Source organism: Homo sapiens, chromosome 1 (genome assembly GCF_000001405.40).
Source record: "Homo sapiens chromosome 1, GRCh38.p14 Primary Assembly".
Lineage (NCBI taxonomy): Eukaryota > Metazoa > Chordata > Mammalia > Primates > Hominidae > Homo > Homo sapiens.
Genome location: NC_000001.11, coordinates 171,880,208 through 171,901,213, shown reverse-complemented (window position 1 = coordinate 171,901,213; position 21,006 = coordinate 171,880,208). Strand labels below are relative to the sequence as shown.

General features: G+C 37.5%; 1 protein-coding gene across 26 annotated transcripts in view, besides 1 other annotated feature; it reads right to left on the bottom strand.

Moving 5' to 3' along the window:
* Window positions 1-21,006, bottom strand: part of DNM3 (dynamin 3) — a 576,969-nt gene that overhangs the window by 517,253 nt on the left and 38,710 nt on the right. For 2 of the 26 annotated variants that reach the window (XM_017000980.2, XM_017000986.2), the window contains exon 1: window positions 1,847-1,948. The exons of the other annotated variants lie outside the window; for them this stretch is intronic. In XM_017000980.2, coding sequence (XP_016856469.1) covers window positions 1,847-1,878 — 32 coding nt within the window. In that variant the 5' untranslated portion in view covers window positions 1,879-1,948. Of the gene's footprint in view, window positions 1-1,846; window positions 1,949-21,006 lie in introns of those variants that run through there. 26 annotated transcript variants of the gene reach the window in all.
* Window positions 17,200-17,279: an enhancer, noted in NCBI's record as "active region_2087". NCBI's record gives its function as "activates an Ori minimal core promoter by ATAC-STARR-seq in GM12878 lymphoblastoid cells {active_cell/tissue: GM12878}" and the evidence as "EXISTENCE:reporter gene assay evidence [ECO:0000049][PMID:35858748]".

The following is a 21,006-nucleotide window of genomic DNA, read 5'->3' as shown; positions in this document are numbered from 1 at the left end:
TTGGATTTCTCAATTCCGGCAGGTGGGGTATGACTACAAGACTGTCATCTTTCCTAGGTGCTGAACTTCATAGATTTCTTTCTTTTTTTTTTTTTTTTTTTGAGACAGAGTCTCGCTCTGTCGCCCATGCTGGAGTGCAGTGGCGCGCTCTCGGCTCACTGCAAGCTCCACCTCCCGGGTTCACGCCATTCTCCTGCCTCAGCCTCCCGAGCAGCTGGGACTACAGGCGCCCGCCACCACGCCCGGCTAATTTTTTCTATTTTTTTTTTAGTAGAGACTGGGTTTCACCGTGTTGGCCAGGATGGTCTCGATCTCCTGACCTCGTGATCCGCCCGCCTCGGCCTCCCTAAATGCTAGGATTATAGGCGGAGCCACCGCGCCCGGCCTCATACATTTCAAAGTATCAATAATATGCATATTTTATCGGCATTAGTATAAAAATGTTCCAGCTTTTTAACCTTGGGGAAAAAGACAAGTAAACCATCATCTCTCTCCATCCTGTTTCATACAGTCCTAGATCTGCTATCATTCCTCACTCCTTCCTCCACAGACAAGCTTCTTAAAGGAAAATTCTTAAATCACGCCACCCTGACTGCTGCCCTGCTGAAATTCAGGTCAGTTTCCTACTTCACCCTGGAAGCCGCCCTCACCAAGATCACCAATGGCCTCATTCCTAAAAGTGGTGAAAATTTATCTGATTTCTTCTTTCAGAAAAACTTGATACTGCTGACCTCTGTCTCCTCGCCTGTCTTCTGTGCTTTTCCTCCAACTCCTTGCCTCCTTCTCAGTATCTTTGGTTGTCCGCTCCTTCTTGGGGTTTTTTCCAGCCATCTTTTCACTCTGCATGTTCTCCCCCTCGGTGGTTTCATCCACCCCCTGCTAATGGCTACCACCCGTGAATCTGCAGCCCCAATCTCTCTTCTGAGCCCCAGATTTCTACTTGTTATATCGATATATCACAAGTACCCCAAACGCATCGTGTCCTAATTTGAATACGCTATTGTCCTCTTTGAATCTGTCCCTCCTTGTTTATTTTCTGCAATGAAAACATACAGTGCGAATAGCACTACCAACCAAGTAAAAATCTGGGGGTTGTCCTTGATTTTCTCCACGTCCCTTACTGTCTTAAGCCCTCGTAAATTACTTCTTGCCAATCCTCCCCCACTGTGCAGTCTCTCTTTTGCTGTACACTGAACTCCTTGCAGTGCCTGGATATTCCAGCTTCCTTCTTGCATCCTTGCCTTTGCACATGCAGTTTCTTCTATCTGGTGTACCTTCTCCCTTGCCCATTTGTCCTTCAAGTCTCATCTCAGGTGTCAACCCCTAGGAAAAGACTTTTCTTAACCTGCCTAGTCTGGACTATGATACTTCCATGTTATTTGTAGAAACCTTTACTATAGAACCCACTATATATGTTTTGTCTATTTTCCATCTTCCCAACCAGACTGTCAACCCGTAAAAAGCAGGAACCATGTCTAATTAATTCTTGGGTATCCAAAGTCTAGTATAACTCCTGGTATAGCATAGGCCCTCAACTAATGTTTTATGGATGAGTACATAAACAAACCCTTAGTAACTACCATTATCCACATTTCTGTGTTTCCTGCCACCCATTATTATTCTTTATCACCTCATTCAAATATTATTTCATTTAGGAAATCTTCCCTGATTCCCACTCTCACTCTCTCATTTCCCACCTCTCCCGTGGTGATTAACTATAATGCAAAGTAGGCAAGGAAATCTGAGTACTTACTTTCCTATTTTACTACCGTTCCACCATAGGAAGCATGGAGGAAAGGATAATTTAATTCATTTTTAGTCACTTCAAAACTAGTGCTTTCCTTACCTAGGATTCTTTAGAGGAAGGCACATCCACATTTGAAAGAAACCAAAAGTGGCACACTAGCAAAAATCTCCCCTCCACTGAAACGCAGCAGCATCTCACAATAGAGCTTTCAAAAGGAGTTACAGATCCAGTGTGTAGTGCTGCTTACGAGCCATCACATGGCAGCAGCGGGGAAAACACACCAGCACCAAATCCAGACAAAGGGTAGAGATGAAGCCTGCTCTGTTCCTGCTGACGTTACTAAGGCCACTGCTCTTGCAGCTGGGCTAACAACAAACAGGCCTCAGCCTGCCTCAGCCCAGCTAGGCAAGCGTCCGGAGGGGCTAAGAGGAACAATGCCCCAGAGCAATAGCTCCCAACATCCGGAGGACACTACGGCCCTACAAACTCACGTTAGTTTCAAATACTACTCATCACCCCTTTCTTGTAAAAAGTCAAATGCATAACCTCCTGTAGAACTAACAACAGTTAAAATGAAATTGTTATCAGAAATAATATAAACATCCAAAAAGAGAGGATTTATCACCCACTGTAGACTAAGTAATCATTAAGAATGAGGTAACAGAATAGTAAATATGAAAAAAAAAATTCACTCTCTACTATTAAGTGAAAAAGAAAGCTAACAAGCCCAAATGTACAATATGATTTCTCTCTCTCTCTCTATATATATATATGTATATACACACACACTTTTAAATCATATAACAGTATAATACAATATAGCATAAGATAAATCTGTACCGAATGTTAAAAGTGGCTAATTTCCAAGTAACTGGATTATAGGTGATTTTTATTTTCTTTTAGTTTTATCTGTTTTTAAAATATCCTTTAATGAACATGTATTTTCTTTAATAAGAAGAAAAAATAGGTTTTAAAAATGAAATAATCTCTCGATTAAATTTTATAAATCTCTAAATCTTCATAAATATAATCACTTGTATCTGTATCCTGAAGATTTAAAATAAATTTTATTGTATCAGTCTTGTTGATTCTTACAAATGGTATAGGACTTGTAGAATCACTAGGTCAGCAAAGGGACATACTGGATGCTCAGTAAAAATGCTTACTTGTGAAATTAGGTTCAAAATGAAAATGGTAATAAGAAATGTACTAATTTTAAACAAATTTCTTATTAAGAAAAAGTCTAAGACCATGAAAACCAAGGTTAAATTTTACCACTGGCCAATTAGGGCAAAGATCCCATTTTTATTATTTCCATCCATAAAATGTAGAAAATGCCAGATTGTTAAAAGTAAATGAAGTTCTTGCCAAATACAACACAATTCTAAGGTATGGTCTACATGCCACAGCATCATAATCTGACCTATACATATCCTGAATAGGAAAATCCCTCTCCTAATTAAATCCTGAAAATGTTATAGACAAGAGTAATAAACTCCAAAGAAAAGGTTCTGTACAAATACAAGTATTAGTCAAAAAAAAAAATGAACCGCAGACCTAGAAACTTGATTAGTCCTTTTTGATAGCATTTATCAAACAAAAGCCATTTGATCAAAAGTAATTTAAACATTTAACTGTATTTTTCTAGTTGGTCTAATTGATTTCACAAGCAAATGTTAACACAGATTGTATGAAAAATCCATACAAAAAGAAGAGAATTTGTTATAGAATTATTTAAGAAAGTTCAATGTTATCAACATGCTAGATTTTATATCTTCATGTCAATGAATAAGAATTTGGGAAGATTCTTTTTTTTATTTATTTGGCATGTATTCATTAAGCATTCACTATGGCATAGCATGTACTAATCTAGGTTTTCAACAAAAGAAACAATTCTCCACAGCATTTCCCTCACTTAAAATCAAAAGATTGACAAGAGATAGACATGATTATTCACTACTGTCAAATCCCTGACATCTGTTCTACTCATTAAAGGTCTATCCTTGACATTTGTGGAGTAGAGGATAATAGCTGAAGAGTTTAAGAATAATCCACTTCAAATAAAAATGGAATAGGGAAAAATATGTAAAATATTCTAATTAGAAAAAAGTACATAGTATAAATTTTAAATTAGACATTTGGAAGGAGCAAAACAAATCCAACCTAGTGAAAACTTTGTTTGGTGTTCATTTGCTATGACCTGATTTGACAAAAATAAAAAGGTGGCAACTCTACACTAATTGCCATTTTTTAAAACTGATTCGTGAAATTCAGCAGTCTGGAAGCCACTGCTTCCAAGTGCATTTTAGCTACCCAGAAGGTGGCTGATCTACAATTTGGAATTCTGCCCCTAACGCAATGTTACACATGAAGAAGATGCTAAAAAATATATATATATATGTGTTGAATGAAGAAATATAACCCTGTTTCATGTAGAAGATGTGGCTTGGGATCACTTTAAGATGGTCCAAAAGACTTAAATCTTTCAGAAAATGAAATGAGAGAAGCAGTAGTATGTAAAGAACAATTAAGGGAGCAAATTTTTCCCTTTAGAAAGCAAAATTTCCCCACACTGCCTAAAAGTTTTTAATTCATTGTTAACTCTGCCTAAAATCCTCACACTGGGTAGGATATATTCGAATTAGTATCTACTCTTCTTTGAAAGCGTACATATTTGGAGAGGATGAAGGAATATAACCATTTAACATGACTATTTTATCAGAAAAAAATTGCAAGTGTTTTGTCATAGTTTATTTACTAACTAAATAAAAATATAACTATGTAAGTGTTGGAAGTTCTGGCCAGGGCTATCAGGCAAGAGAAAGAAATAAAGGGTATTCAATTAGGAAAAGAGGAAGTCAAATTGTCCCTGCTTACAGATGACATGATTGTATATTTAGAAAACCCCATCGTGTCAGCCCAAAATCTCCTTAAGCTGATAAGCAACTTCAGCAAAGTCTCAGGATACAAAATATACAAAATCGATGTGCAAAAATCACAAGCATTCCTATACACCAATAATAGACAAACAGAGAGCCAAATCATGAGTGAACTCCCATTCACAATTGCTTCAAAGAGAATAAAATACCCAGGAATCCAACTTACAAGGAATGTGAAGGACCTCTTCAAGGAGAACTACAAACCACTGCTCAATGAAATAAAAGAGGACACAAACAAATGGAAGAACATTCCATGCTCATGGATAGGAAGAATCAATATTGTGAAAATGGCCATACTGCCCAAGGTAATTTATAGATTCAATGCCATCCCCATCAAGCTACCAATGACTTCCTTCACAGAATTGGAAAAAACTACTTTAAAGTTCATATGGAACCAAAAAGGAGCCCGCATTGCCAAGACAATCCTAAGCAAAAAGAACAAAGTTGGAGGCATCACGCTACCTGACTTCAAACTATACTACAAGGCTACGGTAACCAAAACAGCATGGTACTGGTACCAAAACAGAGATATAGATCAATGGAACAGAACAGAGGCCTCAGAAATAACACCACCCATCTACAACCATCTGATCTTTGACAAACCTGACAAAAACAAGAAATGGGGAAAGGATTCCCTATTTAATAAATGGTGCTGGGAAAACTGGCTAGCCATATGTAGAAAGCTGAAACTGGATCCCTTCCTTACATCTTATACAAAAATTAATTCAAGATGGATTAAAGACTTAAATGTTAGACCTAAAACCATAAAAACCCTAGAAGAAAACCTAGGCAATACCATTCAGGACATAGGCATGGGCAAGGACTTCATGACTAAAACACCAAAAGCAATGGCAACAAAAGCCAAAATTGACAAATGGGATCTAATTAAACTAAAGAGCTTCTGCACAGCAAAAGAAACTACCATCAGAGTGAACAGGCAACCTACAAAATGGGAGAAAAATTTTGCAATCTACCCATCTGACAAAGGGCTAATATCCAGAATCTACAAAGAACTTAAACAAATTTACAAGAAAAAAATCAAAAAATCCCATCAAAAAGTGGGCAAAGGATATGAACAGACACTTCTCAAAAGAAGACATTTATGCAGCCAACAGACACATGAATAAATGCTCATCATCACTAGTCATCAGAGAAATGCAAATCAAAACCACAATGAGATACCATCTCACACCAGTTAGAATGGCAATCATTAAAAAGTCAGGAAACAACAGATGCTGGAGAGAATGTGGAGAAAGAGGAACACTTTTACACTGTTGGTGGGAGTGTACATTAGTTCAACCACTGTGGAAGACAGTGGGCAATTCCTCAAGGATCTAGAACTAGAAATGCCATTTCACCCAGTGATCCCATTACTGGGTATATACCCAAAGGATTATAAATCATACTACTATAAAGACACATGCACACGTATATTTATTGCAGCACTATTCACAATAGCAAAGACTTGGAACCAACCCAAATGTCCATCAATGATAGACTGGATTAAGAAAATGTGGCACATATACACGATGGAATACTATGCAGCCATATAAAACGATGAGTTCATGTCCTTTGCAGGCACATAGATAAAGCTGGAAACCATCATTCTCAGAAAACTATCACAAGGGCAGAATGGATGAAGCTGGAAACCATCATTCTCAGAAAACTATCACAAGGACAGAAAACCAAACACTGCATGTTCTCACTCATAGGTGGGAAATTGAACAACGAGAACACTTGGACACAGGGCAGGGAACATCATACACCAGGGCCTGCTGGGGGAGTCGGGGGCTGGGAGAGGGATAGCATTAGGAGAAATACCTAATGTAAATGACGAGTTGATGGGTGCAACAAACCAACATGGCACATGCATACCTATGTAACAAACCTGCACATTGTGCACATGTACCCTAGAACTTTAAGCATAATAAAAATTAATCAATCAATACAAACAAATTAGCCAGGCATGGTGGTGGGCACCTGTAATCCCAGCTACTCAGGAGGCTGAGGCAGGAGAATTGCATCAACCTGGGAAGTGGAGGTTGCAGTGAGCCGAGATCATGCCACTGCACTCCAGCCTGGGAGACACAGAGAGATTCTGTATCAAAAAAATAAATAAAATAAAATAAAATAAGTAAAAATAAAGCAAATAGCTTTTGAGGAAAGACCAGAGCTTTCCGGTTTTCCAGTGGCAAAGAAGATCCTGACTGTCTTTTCACAACTTTCCCTGCTCAAGGACAGTGGGAGGAATCACAGACAGGAAAGGTGGGGGCCAGGTGTGGTGGCTCGTGCCTGTAATCCCAGCACTTTGGGAGGCCAAGGTGGGCGGGTCACTTGAGATCAGGAGCTCCAGACCAGCCTGGCCAACATGGTAAAACCCCGGCTCTATTAAAAATACAAAAATTGGGCCAGGCGCTGTGGCTCACGCCTGTAATCCCAGCACTTTGGGAGGCCGAGGTGGGCAGATCATGAGGTCAGGAGATGGAGACCATCCTGGCCGACATGGTGAAATCCCATCTCTACTAAAAATACAAAAATTAGCTTGGTGTGGCAGTGCGTGCCTATAATCCCAACTACTCAGGAGGCTGAGGCAGGAGAAAAAATATATATATATAACTATGTAGTTAAGATTATGAGATATCTTTATGATAACAATACTTACTCAAAAGTTTTAGCTATTTCATGTAACTGCATGTAAATAATAGATTGGCTTAAATTTCAACTTATATTGGATTGAACCACTCAAAATTGCCGGTCCAAAAAAAGTGGTCAAGGCTGGGCACAGTGGCTCATGCCTGTAATCCCAGCACTTTGGGAAGCCAAGGCAGGAGGATCACTTGAGCCCAGGAGTTTGAGACCAACCTGGGTGATATAATGAGACCTCATCTCTACAAAAAAATTGTTTAATTAGTTCGGTGTGTTGGTGTGCATCTGTGGTCCTAGTTATTTGGGAGGCTGAGGTGGAAGGATTGCTTGAGCTCAGGAAATCAAGGCTGCAGTGAACTGTGATCAAGCCACTGCACTCCAGCCTGGGTGAAAGAGTGAGACCCTGTCTCAAAAGACAAAAAAAAAAAGTCAAATATTAAATAATTGAAAATAGTTTGGACTATTTCAAAACCTTACTTTATAGGTTTTGACAATGCATTGTACTAGTAAATAACATAAAATAATACAATATAATAATATAAAATTAAATAGCTCAAACTATCTTAGTATGTATTGGCAAATACATGGCACAAGGCATTGTCAAAACCTATGAAACTTTACAGCACAAAAAGTAAACCTTAGTCCATGCAATTTAAACAAAAATAATTAAGGACATCAAAGGATCCCAGAATAGAATGCAGAATGTGACAAAACAGACAGTCTAACTCTATTGCAAATGTATGAAACAACCTCACTGAAGGGGTAAGGGGAGAGGGTAGTTGACCTAAGTAACTTTGGAAATGAGTGGAGTCTGCAAGACTAAAGGGAAAAGGAACCACACATAACCACTGTACTCTAGTTCAGGGGTCCCCAACTCTTGCGCCACAGACCAACACCTATCCATGGCCTGTTAGGAACTGGGCCGCACAGCAGGAGGTGACCCGTGGGCAACAGCATTACCACCTGAGCTCCGCTTCCTGTCTGATCAGTGGTGGCAATAGATTCTCATAACAGTGTAAACCCTATCATGAACTGCTTATGCAAGGGATCTAGGTTGCATGCGCCTTAGGTCAACTAAGTGACACATGGGCAGTTTCATCCCAAAACACTCCCTGCCAGAGCCAGCCATAGAAAAATTGTCTTCCACAAAACCAGCCCCTGGTGCCAAAAAGGCTGGGAACTGCTGCTGTAGTTGATAAAGTTCTTGCCTCTGGGGATACCAGTTAATTCTGATACTGTTATACATGTATACATAAATGAACAATTAAGTGGATGGATGGCAACCAAGTTTCTGACTGTTAGAATGGGAAGTTATAGGTAAGCAAGAGGAGGAGGCTAGAATTATCCATGTGGTGATGAATTAGAATTGGAGACATCAGTCTAAACTCATATTTAGCTTAACATAGATACAGATGATTACATACAGAAATATTTGTAGATATGTGTATATACACAGGTTGGTATATGCAAATACATTCCCTTGCTCTGTCAGCTGAGAGAGCCTAAAAGCAGCTACAATCCAATAACAATGAGTACACCTAGTGCCTAGATTTTGGTTTCTAACACCATTTCCAAACAAAAGAACCAGGGCTCCTTGGAAAAATAGTCAATTATAGAACTGGGGGAGGATATATAGATGATGATCCAGGAGCATCTTGTAGTGACAGAAAATTAGGAAGTATTCAAAACACATAGACACACACACACGCACACACACACAATTACGAGACTATGTCAAACGGACATAGAACCAACTGAAAGAGCTCCCACGGGAACAGTTTGAGCAAATAAATAAATAAAGTAGCATTGGATTATAACCTAAAGTATAAACTATTCATGAGTCCATACTGATATAAATTATTGAATAAATAAACAAATGGAGAATAATAGACAAAACTCCCACGCAGATGAGTTCCAAATAATTTATGTAGATAATACAATACACTCTCTGGAGATGGAGCATAACTCCCCACTCCTTAAGTGTGGGTTATGCACAGTGACTTCCTTACAAAGAATACAGGATAGAAAGGGAAAGCCTGACAACCATAACCAGAGCCAGGTGATGATGGACAACATCAACAGTGCTAAGTCACTAACAGTATGCTCCTTTGATATGATGTGATAAGATGGTAATTTCCCTCTGTGATCTTTCTCCCAAAAACACATAACTCCGTGAGAAAAACATCAGAGAAATCTCAATTAAGAGGTATTTTATAAAATACCTAATGAGTACTCCTCAAAACTGTCAAGGTCATAAGAAATAAAGTCTGAGAAATTGTCACATCTAAGAAGAGCCTAGAGACATGATGATGAAATGTAATGTGGTATCCTGGATATGATCCTGGATAGAAAAAGGCAAGCAGGCTAAAAACAACAAAAATCTGAATAAAATATGGATTTTAATTAATAATATTGTAAAAGTAGTGGTTCATTAATTGCAACAAACATACCATACTAATGTAAGATATTAATAAATGCAAAAACAAGTGTGGCATATATGGGTACTCTTTGTAATTTTTCTGTTTTTTTTTTTTAGCACTTGCCCATGTAATTTTTTCTATTAATCTAAAACTCTTCTTAAAGAAAACGTTCATTTGAAAAAAATAATTTGGAAAAAGCTGTGATGTTTACTGTATAGGACGACTGCCAAATCTATACCTGCAGCCCCATCTCTAATGCCGTAATTTGCATCACCTGCCTCCTTCACCTTCCTTATATAGGAGACTGTATTGGTCATTGCAGCCTTTTCACTTTGATGCTCTTCCTCTCTCAGGTAGACTATGGGTCCTTCCAGCACAATTTAGTTGCAAAACAATATGAAGTCAATTATATGAGAAGATTTTCAGAAACCAACTATTTTTAAGACAAGACTTTTCAATAGCCATGTGGAGTGACTTTTAGAAACTATGTCCCAGTTGGGTGCCAGTGGCTCACATCTGTAATCCCAGTGCTTTGGGAGGCCAAGGTGGGAGGATTACTTGAGGCCAGGAGTTCAAGAAACCATGTCCAGTATTATTTTTACCTTTCATTCAGGATGCATAACTGTTTTTGTTTGGTTCTTTGTTTGTTTGTTTTGTTTTTTGCTGCTGTGATTGGTCTCTAATAATCATCACAAAAATAATCCTCCTAAATAGACGTATACATATTTCCCATGCCCCATACACACAGAATTGAAGGTTATTATTAGTAGTATTCTAACATAAACTATGCCACCTTTATAATTCTCAAATACATTTTTCAGGAACAGTATCAACAAAAAAAAACAACTTAATGATATCTTTTCCCAGTGGAAGTTGGTTATAAGTTAATTCAACTGACACCTAAAACTTTATATGAATACTTTTTCATTCAGTGAGTCAGGGAGTAAGTAGCTAGTTAGAACTTTGAAATATGGTTTGTTAAATGCATATTTTAAAGTCAGTTTTACACAAGGAAGTCACCAACTCAATTTTAAATAAACTCGGTTATGCTTTATCTCTAGGAAGGCATCTGGTAGTTTTCTAGGAAAATGAACCAACTAGTTGGTTTTTCTGCTTGGCCAGAAATGCTACTTCTATATAAATTCACAGAATGAGTACTTCCAAACAAGGATGGAGAAAACTTTAAAAAGCCAAGTCTTAAAATAAAACCAGAAAGCAGATTTACTATGAATATTATTTTTAGTTCCCAATTAGCATTCTAATTGGTAGATCCCACACTGTTTGAGAACAGATATCTGAAGAACTATACCCAAGATCATTGTTTGATTCATTCATCATACTCTAAATAATGAGAAATGGTTCGGAGAATAAAGGCGGATATACTTGTAGTTTTTCTCTTCGAATTTTCCTCTTATCCTAGTTCTCAGCACTTGATATCACTACAAATCTGTAAAATATGGCTGGTAAATCTTGGTGAGAGCAACACAAAATGAAGCTTAAACTCAAATCAGGACAGCTACAACACACCTAGATGTCCATGTAAGCATGTCAGCTATACTATATGTATTAAATATTAATGGGTGAAATAAAGATACTTAAAGCCCAACTTTCACCTTCTGCAATTATCCCAGATGACTGTTCAGTCGGTCTCTGCTAATACATTTCCGGTAAAGAATAGCTTTAAAGAGCCTTTTCCATCTTCCCTAATCAATGGCTTTCTCTCTTCCGACTTCTAGATAAACAACAAAAAAAATTCTTTCTCCTGTCTTTAACCCATTTTTGTTTTTGTTTTTGCCTTAACCTTTTCAAAAACTTTGGCCAATTCTCAGTTTTAGCCTCTCTGACGCTATCATACCTAAACCTTCATGCAAATTCTTTCTGTCAAGAGTGAGGGAGTAGCTAGTAGACATTCTTTTAACTTTGAAGTATGTTCTGTTAAATGCATAGTTTAATTAAAGCCAATTCTACTACTGGAAAGTCACCAGCTCCATTTTAATTAAAAGCCACTTATGTATTTTTCCTTCGTATATGCCCCTACCTTGATTTTTTTAATATTATTCACATACTTTATGGCTAGAGAATATATAAATATAGTCCATGGTTTTTTGTTGTTGTCGTTTTGTTTTGTTTTATTTTTAATAAATCACCTTGTCCATACGCCTCTCTCTCCTATTTAAATTCACGGCCAAGCACAGTGGCTCACACGTGTAATCTCAGAACTTTGGGAGGCCATGGTGGGAGGATTGCTTGAGCCTAGGAGTTGCAGACCAACCCAGGCAACATAGCAAGACCCTGTCTCTACAAAAACAAAAAAATTAGCCGGGCATGGTGGTCCATGCCTGTGGCCCCAGCTACTCAGGAGGCTGAGGTGAGAGGATCACTTGAGCCAGGCAGGTTGAGGCTACAGTGTGCCGTGATTGCACCACTGCAATCCAGCCTGAGTGAGAGACAGAGAGAGGCCCTGTCTCAAAAAGAAACCAAAAAATCATTCGTAAGTAAATAATCAGAATTTCATTTTCTTCTTACGTACCATCCTCATGAGTCACAATCCCTTCTAAAATATCTACTTTGTTTCTAAGCTTCTTAAAATCTACTTTTAAAAAAATGATACCCAATGCTGCCTTGCTTTGATATTATAAACTCTTATATGGTCACCTTTTCCCAGAATTTCTTTAAGACCTTATGACCAAGATATCTTTGTTAGTTATTTCAAGATATAGAATTGCAATTCTCCCCACTGCTTTGTCCACCTTCAAAGAGATGACACCACTGCTGGCAAGATAAAACAAGAATGCATCAGATGCTCTGGCTTCATGCTAACACATCCACACAGCACTGTTGTATTATCATATTTGACCCTCATAATAACCTTAGAAGTTTAGAAAAACAGGTATTATCATCCCGAGACTGAAAACAGTTAAATTATTTACTCGAGGTCAGGAGGCCAAGCAAATGGAGATTGAGACCTATTTCTGCATCCTTTCCTCTATACTGCAGAATTACACTCCCAGTTGACATTAGGATGCTATTATTTTTAAATCTATGCCAGTTTTATAATCCATATTAAAAATTCTTTTAAATGTTTCTAATAGCTACAGAGTATGTTCTCTGGGGAAATGACATTATTCCCCCCCTACTCTAAGTGAGAATGAATTTCATTTGACCTTGGTTTTATTCCCAGCTCCACTATCCTTTAACTGTATAGCCTTGAGATCTGGCTTCAAAACTCTACTACAAATATAACATTACCCTTTTTTCACACTTCACAAGCAAATGATTTTTCTAATGATAAAGAAAAATTTCTGTTACTTAACTCCTAGATTCTTAATATATAATTGTCAAAACATGCTGATTTCTAACTATAAGAGAATAGAAGAAAAAAAAAGACTAAAAAAAAAAAAGAAGAAAGCTTCAGTAGGATATAACCAAGAACTGTTTGACCATATGGGTATTCAAATACAAGACAGGTTTCAGAGAACATAATAGAATCAAAATCCTTTTTGACTTTCAAAAATCAATTAGATTTTCACCTATAAGGATTGTTTTACATACATCCTGAAGGTCCCATTCATCCCTATTGAGAAAAAAAAAGACAGTGGAAAAAAAACATATTAGATGATGCCTTAAAATAATTTACCAACTTGATTACAATAAATTAATAATGAATTAAATAAATCCCCAGATTTTCTCAAATCTACAGATATGCATATACATTGACACATATTTAAGTTACACAAAAGTGTTTAGAGATTATCAAAGAAATGTTAAAATACAGCAGAGATTTTTTTGAACCACGTGAAAGAATTTTATCCAGTCAACAAAGTAAACAAAAAAAAATAAATTAATTAAAGGTTTATCTTAAGTTTCCCATAAATCATCAGAAAAAGATCTATAAAGAATGGAGTTATTTTGCTACACTGAGATACCCTGGCAATAACAAAGTCAAACCAAAGAACTTATAAACAGGCCAAGAATTTGGCTTTATAGTTTATGCATCCATGAAAACTATGGAAAATCTTTTAAATAGTATACAGAAGACATTTTTTAAGAAAGACCCTGCCCTCAAAATATATACTCTATGGACCAAGAACAGATATTGTCTGTATTTCGAAGTAACAGTCCCTAGTTCAGGGGAACAGTCTTGGGTTCTGGCCCCAGTCACTGACTGCAGTGTGGCCTTGGACATGGGACCTTTCACCTCAATATCCTTACTTTTAAAGTGAGGATAGTAGATTAGATGATTTCTAAAATTCCTCTATTTCTATAATTCTTGATTCTATTAATAATAGCAGAAGACTTCTACAAGCCTGAAGCTAATCAATTTTAGATCCCCATCAGGAAATAGGAAGCTCTTTGTCCACAGCCCACAGGTAATTGAGTTTTCTCTCACAGCAATAGCATCTCTAGTAATTCAATTACCTAATAAATCTACCTTCTCCTGCCCTTGTATTTGACGATTTTACGTTATTATCAAATCACATCACATTAAAATACAATTTTACTATAACCAAAGGGAAATAACTTTCTTCTAAGGAATTGTATAATGACTCTTTCAAAACATTAAACCAGAAACGATGACAAATCTGTGCCAACTCACAAAAAAAAAGTTGGCTTTAAGAGAGCTGTGTGCATTGGAAATAATGTTTATAGTGTAGTCATTAATCAAATGCCTTATAAATGAAATTACTAGACACTTGTTCACTACTAATGACTTCTTAACCTAATCTTCAGGTTAGAAAGATTAAAACTTGTATTTTTGCCTTTCTTATTTCAAATTCAAGCCATAGCCTGGAAACAATAAGCTTTGATTCTCACTCTTCTATTACAGACTCTCATATCATTCTAAAATTCCTAAAAGCATAATGTAAATAACAAAGGCAATTTTTCAAGCAAGCAGTGATTGGCCATAGATTCTTTAAAAAAAAAATGGGTTGGGGAAGTGGGAACCAGAAAAGCATCATTAAAATTTGTTCCAGCCACAGTGATACCAGTATCCCCTTGTTTTTTGTGTTCCCTTTGCCTCAAACTTTCCCTCTCTGAATCTTCTTAAAACAATTTTAAATGCCTCAGTATGAACCTCTATTACCATCCCTTCTATTATATACCCATTAAGTGGCCATCTGATTTATAGACAAACGCTAAAGTCACATGTACTTGGTACTGACTGGATCTACTATCTGTGAGGCTGTATAGACAAATCACTTAGATCACAAATAAAAGAGGAAAAGGAGCTTAACAATTTGACAGGTTTCCTAAAAGAGAAATTCTAATCTCACGCCTTTACCATGTATTTACAAGAACCAACATTTCAGGTTTAGCTCATTATATCTCAGAAGCCATTCTTATTTTAGCAAAATTCCCAGAATTTAAGTTGAGACAAATCTGACTATTGCTCCCATGGAAGATTCCACTCCTGTCAACAGCCTTATGAGATCCCTAATCAGGCCACCCCCAATCTTGACAGTCCGGTCAAAGTGGTCCCTAGCCTAAGGCCCGTCAACATCTCATCCTACTCTCAGTTTCATCCTGTACCCTCAGGGGTCTCCAAAGCAAGGTTATAAGCACCCCAAACCAAAGTCCAAGATCTATCCACCCCCTAACCCTCACTGTGCAAACAGCTACCCTTGGCCACCCCTTGGGCCTAGAAAGGGTATACACTGGTAGAGTCTGCCTTTAGGAGAAAAGCAAAGGAGCCCACACAGGTCCTGAAAGCAGCTTGAGCCCATTTAGGCAGAGAATTTTAGAGTCCCAGTTTCCTGCTACATGGGTTAGAAGGTAGAAGGGTTCAAGCTCTAGGTGGGCATATCCCCTGTCACATCTTTGACACCCCAATACTAGCAAGATGGGGATAGGCAACGCCAGAAAAAACAGCAAGGCCCTCTAAAATTTTAGGCCTAAGAAAGCAGCCCGCATCACATAGGTTTAAGGATGATTCTATTCCTGGTTATTCAAACTTTCAAAAAATTTTTCAGAGGCCTTGACTCTGAGAATATGGGGCCCAGGTCAAACATGGCTATGTACTCTCTCCCTAGTTATTCACAAAATAAAGCCAGATTAAATTAACATGAGGAACATTCTTTGAAAGAAAAATAAAAGTACAACATAAGTATGTATGTTTTGATGTTTTGCTTAGGAGGTAAAAAATTTTACTTTTCCGTAAAAAATAAAATTTTGATGTTTTGATGTTTTGCTTAGGAGGTAAGAAATTTTATTTTTCCGTAAAACAATCTCCCGATTTTTTTTTACCAAGTGCCATACCCATTTTCTCTCCATAGACTTTCCTCATCAAAAGCCAGCTGCAAAAACTCCCTTAAAGCTCAGCATCTAAGAACATTGCCTAATGCCCTCCTTGTGCCCTGGAGTTTACCCAAGTTTGAGGGGATGCTAAACGGACTAGATAACTGTATAGATCAATTCACCATTCCCCAAGCAACTACCTTGTGCCAAGCAACATGATAGGATCTAGAGATGAAAAGATGGTTGAGATGTAACCCTGACATCAAGGAACATGTAGTGGACTGATTGCAGTAATGCCCCATTTGCTCACACATCCCTGTATTCACACCCTTTTGTAGTGCTCTCACACAATAACTCTGGGCTTAGCCATGTGACTTGTTCTGGACAGTGGGACAGAAGCAAATGTATCAGAAGCAGAAATTTGAAAGTTCTTGTACATTAAAGGATATGCTCTGTTGATGCTTTTGGGAACCCTGTTGACATCATGTGAACAAGTCTGAACTAGCCCGTTGAAGGATGGGAAACCACAAGAGAATAAGTGAGGTATCCCAGTCATCAATCAGCCAGCCCCCAGCCAACCATATGAGTGAGTCCCATCAGAAAGCAGCTGAGCCCTACTGAGCCCAGACCAACCTGCTGATTCCACAGAATCATGAGCTAAATTAATGGCTATTGTTCTAAGCCACTAAGTTTTGGGGTGGCTTATTGCAGGGCAAATGGATCTAATGCATATAAAACCCAGTGCCTCATAGGGAAGCTAGACTTATATACAATTAGTTGTAAGACAGTGCGAAGGCTGTAGCAGACCTAAAGATAACATATATGGGTAACTCAAAGGAGAAGGTGATTAATCCTAATGGGTCCAGCATGGAAGATGAACAGGAGTGTCAGGAAAAAGTTCATAGAGGAGATGATGCCTAGTCTTTATTCTGATAAAAAGAACCACTTCAGGAGGCAACAGACTTAACCAACCTTTCCTTTTTTTCATCACTGATACAAATCTCCAAAGAGAACACCAGAACCAAATCAGAAACCACGTGCTTCTGTTTCCACTAACAAACTATAGGATATTACTTCAACTAGAAACTTTCTCTTTCTCTCAGGGCCCTAGAAGTTTCGTCAGGGCTGGAACCAGACAAAACTTTGAAGATGCAGCCATGCTGAACATCTGTTTAACTCAGCGGCACTCAGCTCCCTGTGATCTCCCAGCAGTCAGACCAAGAGAATGACAATACATTGTCACCACAGATAGTGTGGCAAGCACACTGAGCAGACGATACATTATGGGAAAGCAAACCCTTATAAGAGAGAGGCCCCAAAAATCAGACTGGGAAATGTTTTGCATTTCTGCACACATCAAGACTTTAATTACTGGTTTATGAGTAAGTCCACTATGAAAAGTCATTTGTTTAATATACATGTGCTTAAGTAATTTTAGGAAAAAGAGGAATCAGGGGCTGGGTGCGGTGGCTCATGCCTGTAATCCCAGCACTTTGGGAGGCCGAGGAGGGCAGATCACAAGGTGAGGAGTTCGAGACCAGCCTGACCAACATGGTAAAACCCTGTCTCTACTAAAAATACAAAAATTAGCCAGGTGTGGTGGTGTGTGCCTGTAATCTCAGCTACTCAGGAGGCTGTGGCAGGAGAATCACTTGAACCCGGGAGGCGGAAGTTGCAGTGAGCCGAGATCGCGCTATTACACTCCAGCCTTAGCAACAGAGTGAGACTCCATCTCAAAAAAAAAAAGAAAGAAAAAAGAAAAAGAGGAATCAAATGCAGTTTATAGATTGATGGTATTCATTCTGACAGGGTGTGTGTGTGTGTGTGTGTGTGTGTGTGTGTGTGTGTGTGTGTGTGTGTGGTCCTTTTTTGTTTTTTTAGAGATGGAGTCTCACTCTGTTGTCCAGGCTAATCTCAAACCTCTAGCATTAAATGATCCTTCCACCTCAGCCTCCTGACTATCAGGGATTATACAGGTGAGCCACTGCATGCAGTCACAGTGTTTTTGTAATAAGAAAAATAGAAACAATTTAAATATCCAATGATAAGAGAGTATTTACATAAATGATAGTGTAACTGTAATAAAGAACATTAGGGAGCCAGGAAAATATGCTTTCAAAGAGCATTTAATGAGATGGAAAAATACTCATAAAATCAGATACAAAATTGAACATACAGAATAATCCCATATTTTTATACATATTAATATGTATACACTATACATATTTTATACGTATTAATATGTATAAAATATGGGATTATTCTGTATGTTCAATTTTGTAACTGATTTTATGAGTCATAGGAAAAATGGAAGTATGTCTAAATGTCAGAAGTATCCTTGGACAGCAGGATCAAGGGTGAATGTTTTCTTCCTTATATATTTCCATGTTTTTCAAATTAAAGTATAAAGTCATTGATAAAAAATATTGAATCAGACAAATCAAAATAAAGGATTGGTCTATAAAACAAGTGGCATATACCCTTCAAAAATATCAATGTCATGAAAGAAAATGGAGTTACGAGATTATTCCAGATTAAAAATTTAAAAGACATGACAACTAAAGGTAATATGTAGTCATGACTTATTTGGCCAAGAGGAAATATGCTCTAAAAAATATTATTGGGATAATAGGCAAATTTTGAATATGGGCTGTATATCTATGTGGTTATATAAGAGAATGTCCTTGTTCTTAAGAAATACATGCTGAAATGTTTAGGAGTAAAGGGGTGTGATATTGACCATTAACTCTTAAATGGTGCGTGTGTGTGTGTGTGTGTGTGTGTGTGTGTGTGTATAGAGAGAGACAGAGACAAAACGAGATAAAGCAAATGTGGCAAAGCATTCATAGTTGTTATGCAAAAGGGCTTTTTTTTTTTTTTTGAGACGGAGTTTCGCTCTTGTTGCCCAGACTGGAGTGCAATGGCGCGATCTCGGCTCACCGCAACCTCCGCCTCCCAGGTTCAAGCAATTCTCCTGCCTCAGCCTCCTGAGTAGCTGGGATTACAGGCATGCACCACCACGCCCAGCTAATTTTGTATTTTTAGTAGAGATGGGGTTTCTCCATGTTGAGGCTGGTCTCGAACTCCTGACCTCAGGTGATCCGCCCACCTCGGCCTCCTAAAGTGCTGGGATTACAGGTGTGAGCCACCATGCCCGGCCACAAGAGGGTTTTAATACTCTTCTTGCAACTCTTCTACAAGTTTGAAATTATTTCAAAATAAAGTTAAAATAACTCTAGATCTGAAAAAATAATTTTAAAGAAAAAATCTTTGATAATTATTGTAAATGTACTATTTTAAAAGAAATTCTAGGATTTAGTTCCTAAAATGTTATGCAACGTTTTCACGCCAATTAATAAAACCCTCTCCTTAAGTAAACTGAGGTAAGAGAGGGACAAATCCCTTCATTAATCCTGTTCCTCTGCTAACAGACATCTTTGCTGAATCTGGAATCTCTCCAATTCAGTCAGCACCCACTGGAGGCCAAAGGTGCTTGGCAGCACATCAAAGTCAGACACTCTGGGTGTTAGCATTTGCATATCTATACTGTACCGAGAGGTCTGCCATTTCAGCAGAATGCCCAGAATTATATTTTACCCATGACCTTCATCCTGACTCTCCAGCTCCCTGACCCTGGCTCTATGGAGCTGCTTGTGGCTCAGCCTGGCCCTCTGCCTGGAGACCCCTATGATCTCATTTGAGAATTTCCCACTCCTATAAATTTTCCCAAGTGTAACTGACAACCACACCCTTTAGGCCCTCTGCTTAGGCCTAACATGAAAAGACAAAACGTCACAGGAGAATTTTCATAATTAAATAGCATCATACATTGCCCATTTCCTTAAATTTTAATTTCCTGAAAGAAGGGCCAATATCATAAGTATATTCTACATTATACTTAATGTATACTAAATAACATAATCACAAAATTAAAGAATTTTAACTATGTCCTAAAAAGGCCACATCATTAAGAATTAATTCCATTTTATCTATGAATGGTAATTTGTGGTTGATTTGATATCTTAGTAAACAAATGTTTCATACGGAATTAACTGAAAAAGTAAATAGATCAATATAATGTGAATACAACTTATTATTATACAATTATTAGGAAAAGTGACAAGATGGTATCATAACTGCCTTCAATAAAATAAATAATTTATGATTATGACCTGAGACTTGGGGAGATATCAACAAAAGACATTGTATTCCCAACCAAAAAACAATTTCCAATAAATTAGCCACAAAATAATTAAAGTCTATCACATGTACCCATTCAAAGTTAGCAGAGAAATAAAAGACACATAGGTTTTTTTTTTACTTTACTATTTATTCTGCCTATGTATTTTGAATAGAACTCCTGGTTGATAAAACTCACAGAAGAACTTTTTGGAATCATTTTCTGATAAGATGATGTGCTCATGGGATTAAATGTTTTTAATATAAACAAACCAAAAAATCTATTCTAATTCACAGTAATCAATATAAATATTTTCTCTTAGACCATCCTAGACATTTTTACACATATATTTTTCATGAAAATATTGCAGGAAACACTCTACATATTGTTTTCTATCTAACCTTGGGTTAGACTAGTTATCTTGACAGTATGTAGCATGGAAAGGAAAAATTACTTCATAGAACATTCCAGAGTATGCTATTTAACCTTCATAGACTCTTTAAATTCATTATTTATTCAACTAACGTTGCTTATGCTCCATTTGCTCTAATTAATGATCGCTGTGCCAAAAAATAATCCCAATTAAATGCACTAGCATAATCACCAGTGGAAAAAAGCTTAATTTCAAAAGATGGCTAAGTTCTAAACAGAAGACATACAGGATTCAAGCTACAAATACATAGAGATACCTGAATCATTCCACCTGGCACATCTGACTATGTAATTACTGATTACTGGATGCTCTTCTGGATTCTCAGATAATGCAAACAAAAAAATATATTTTAAAAATCTACTTGGAGACTGTAATATACAAGGTTTACATCTGAAAATTGTTTC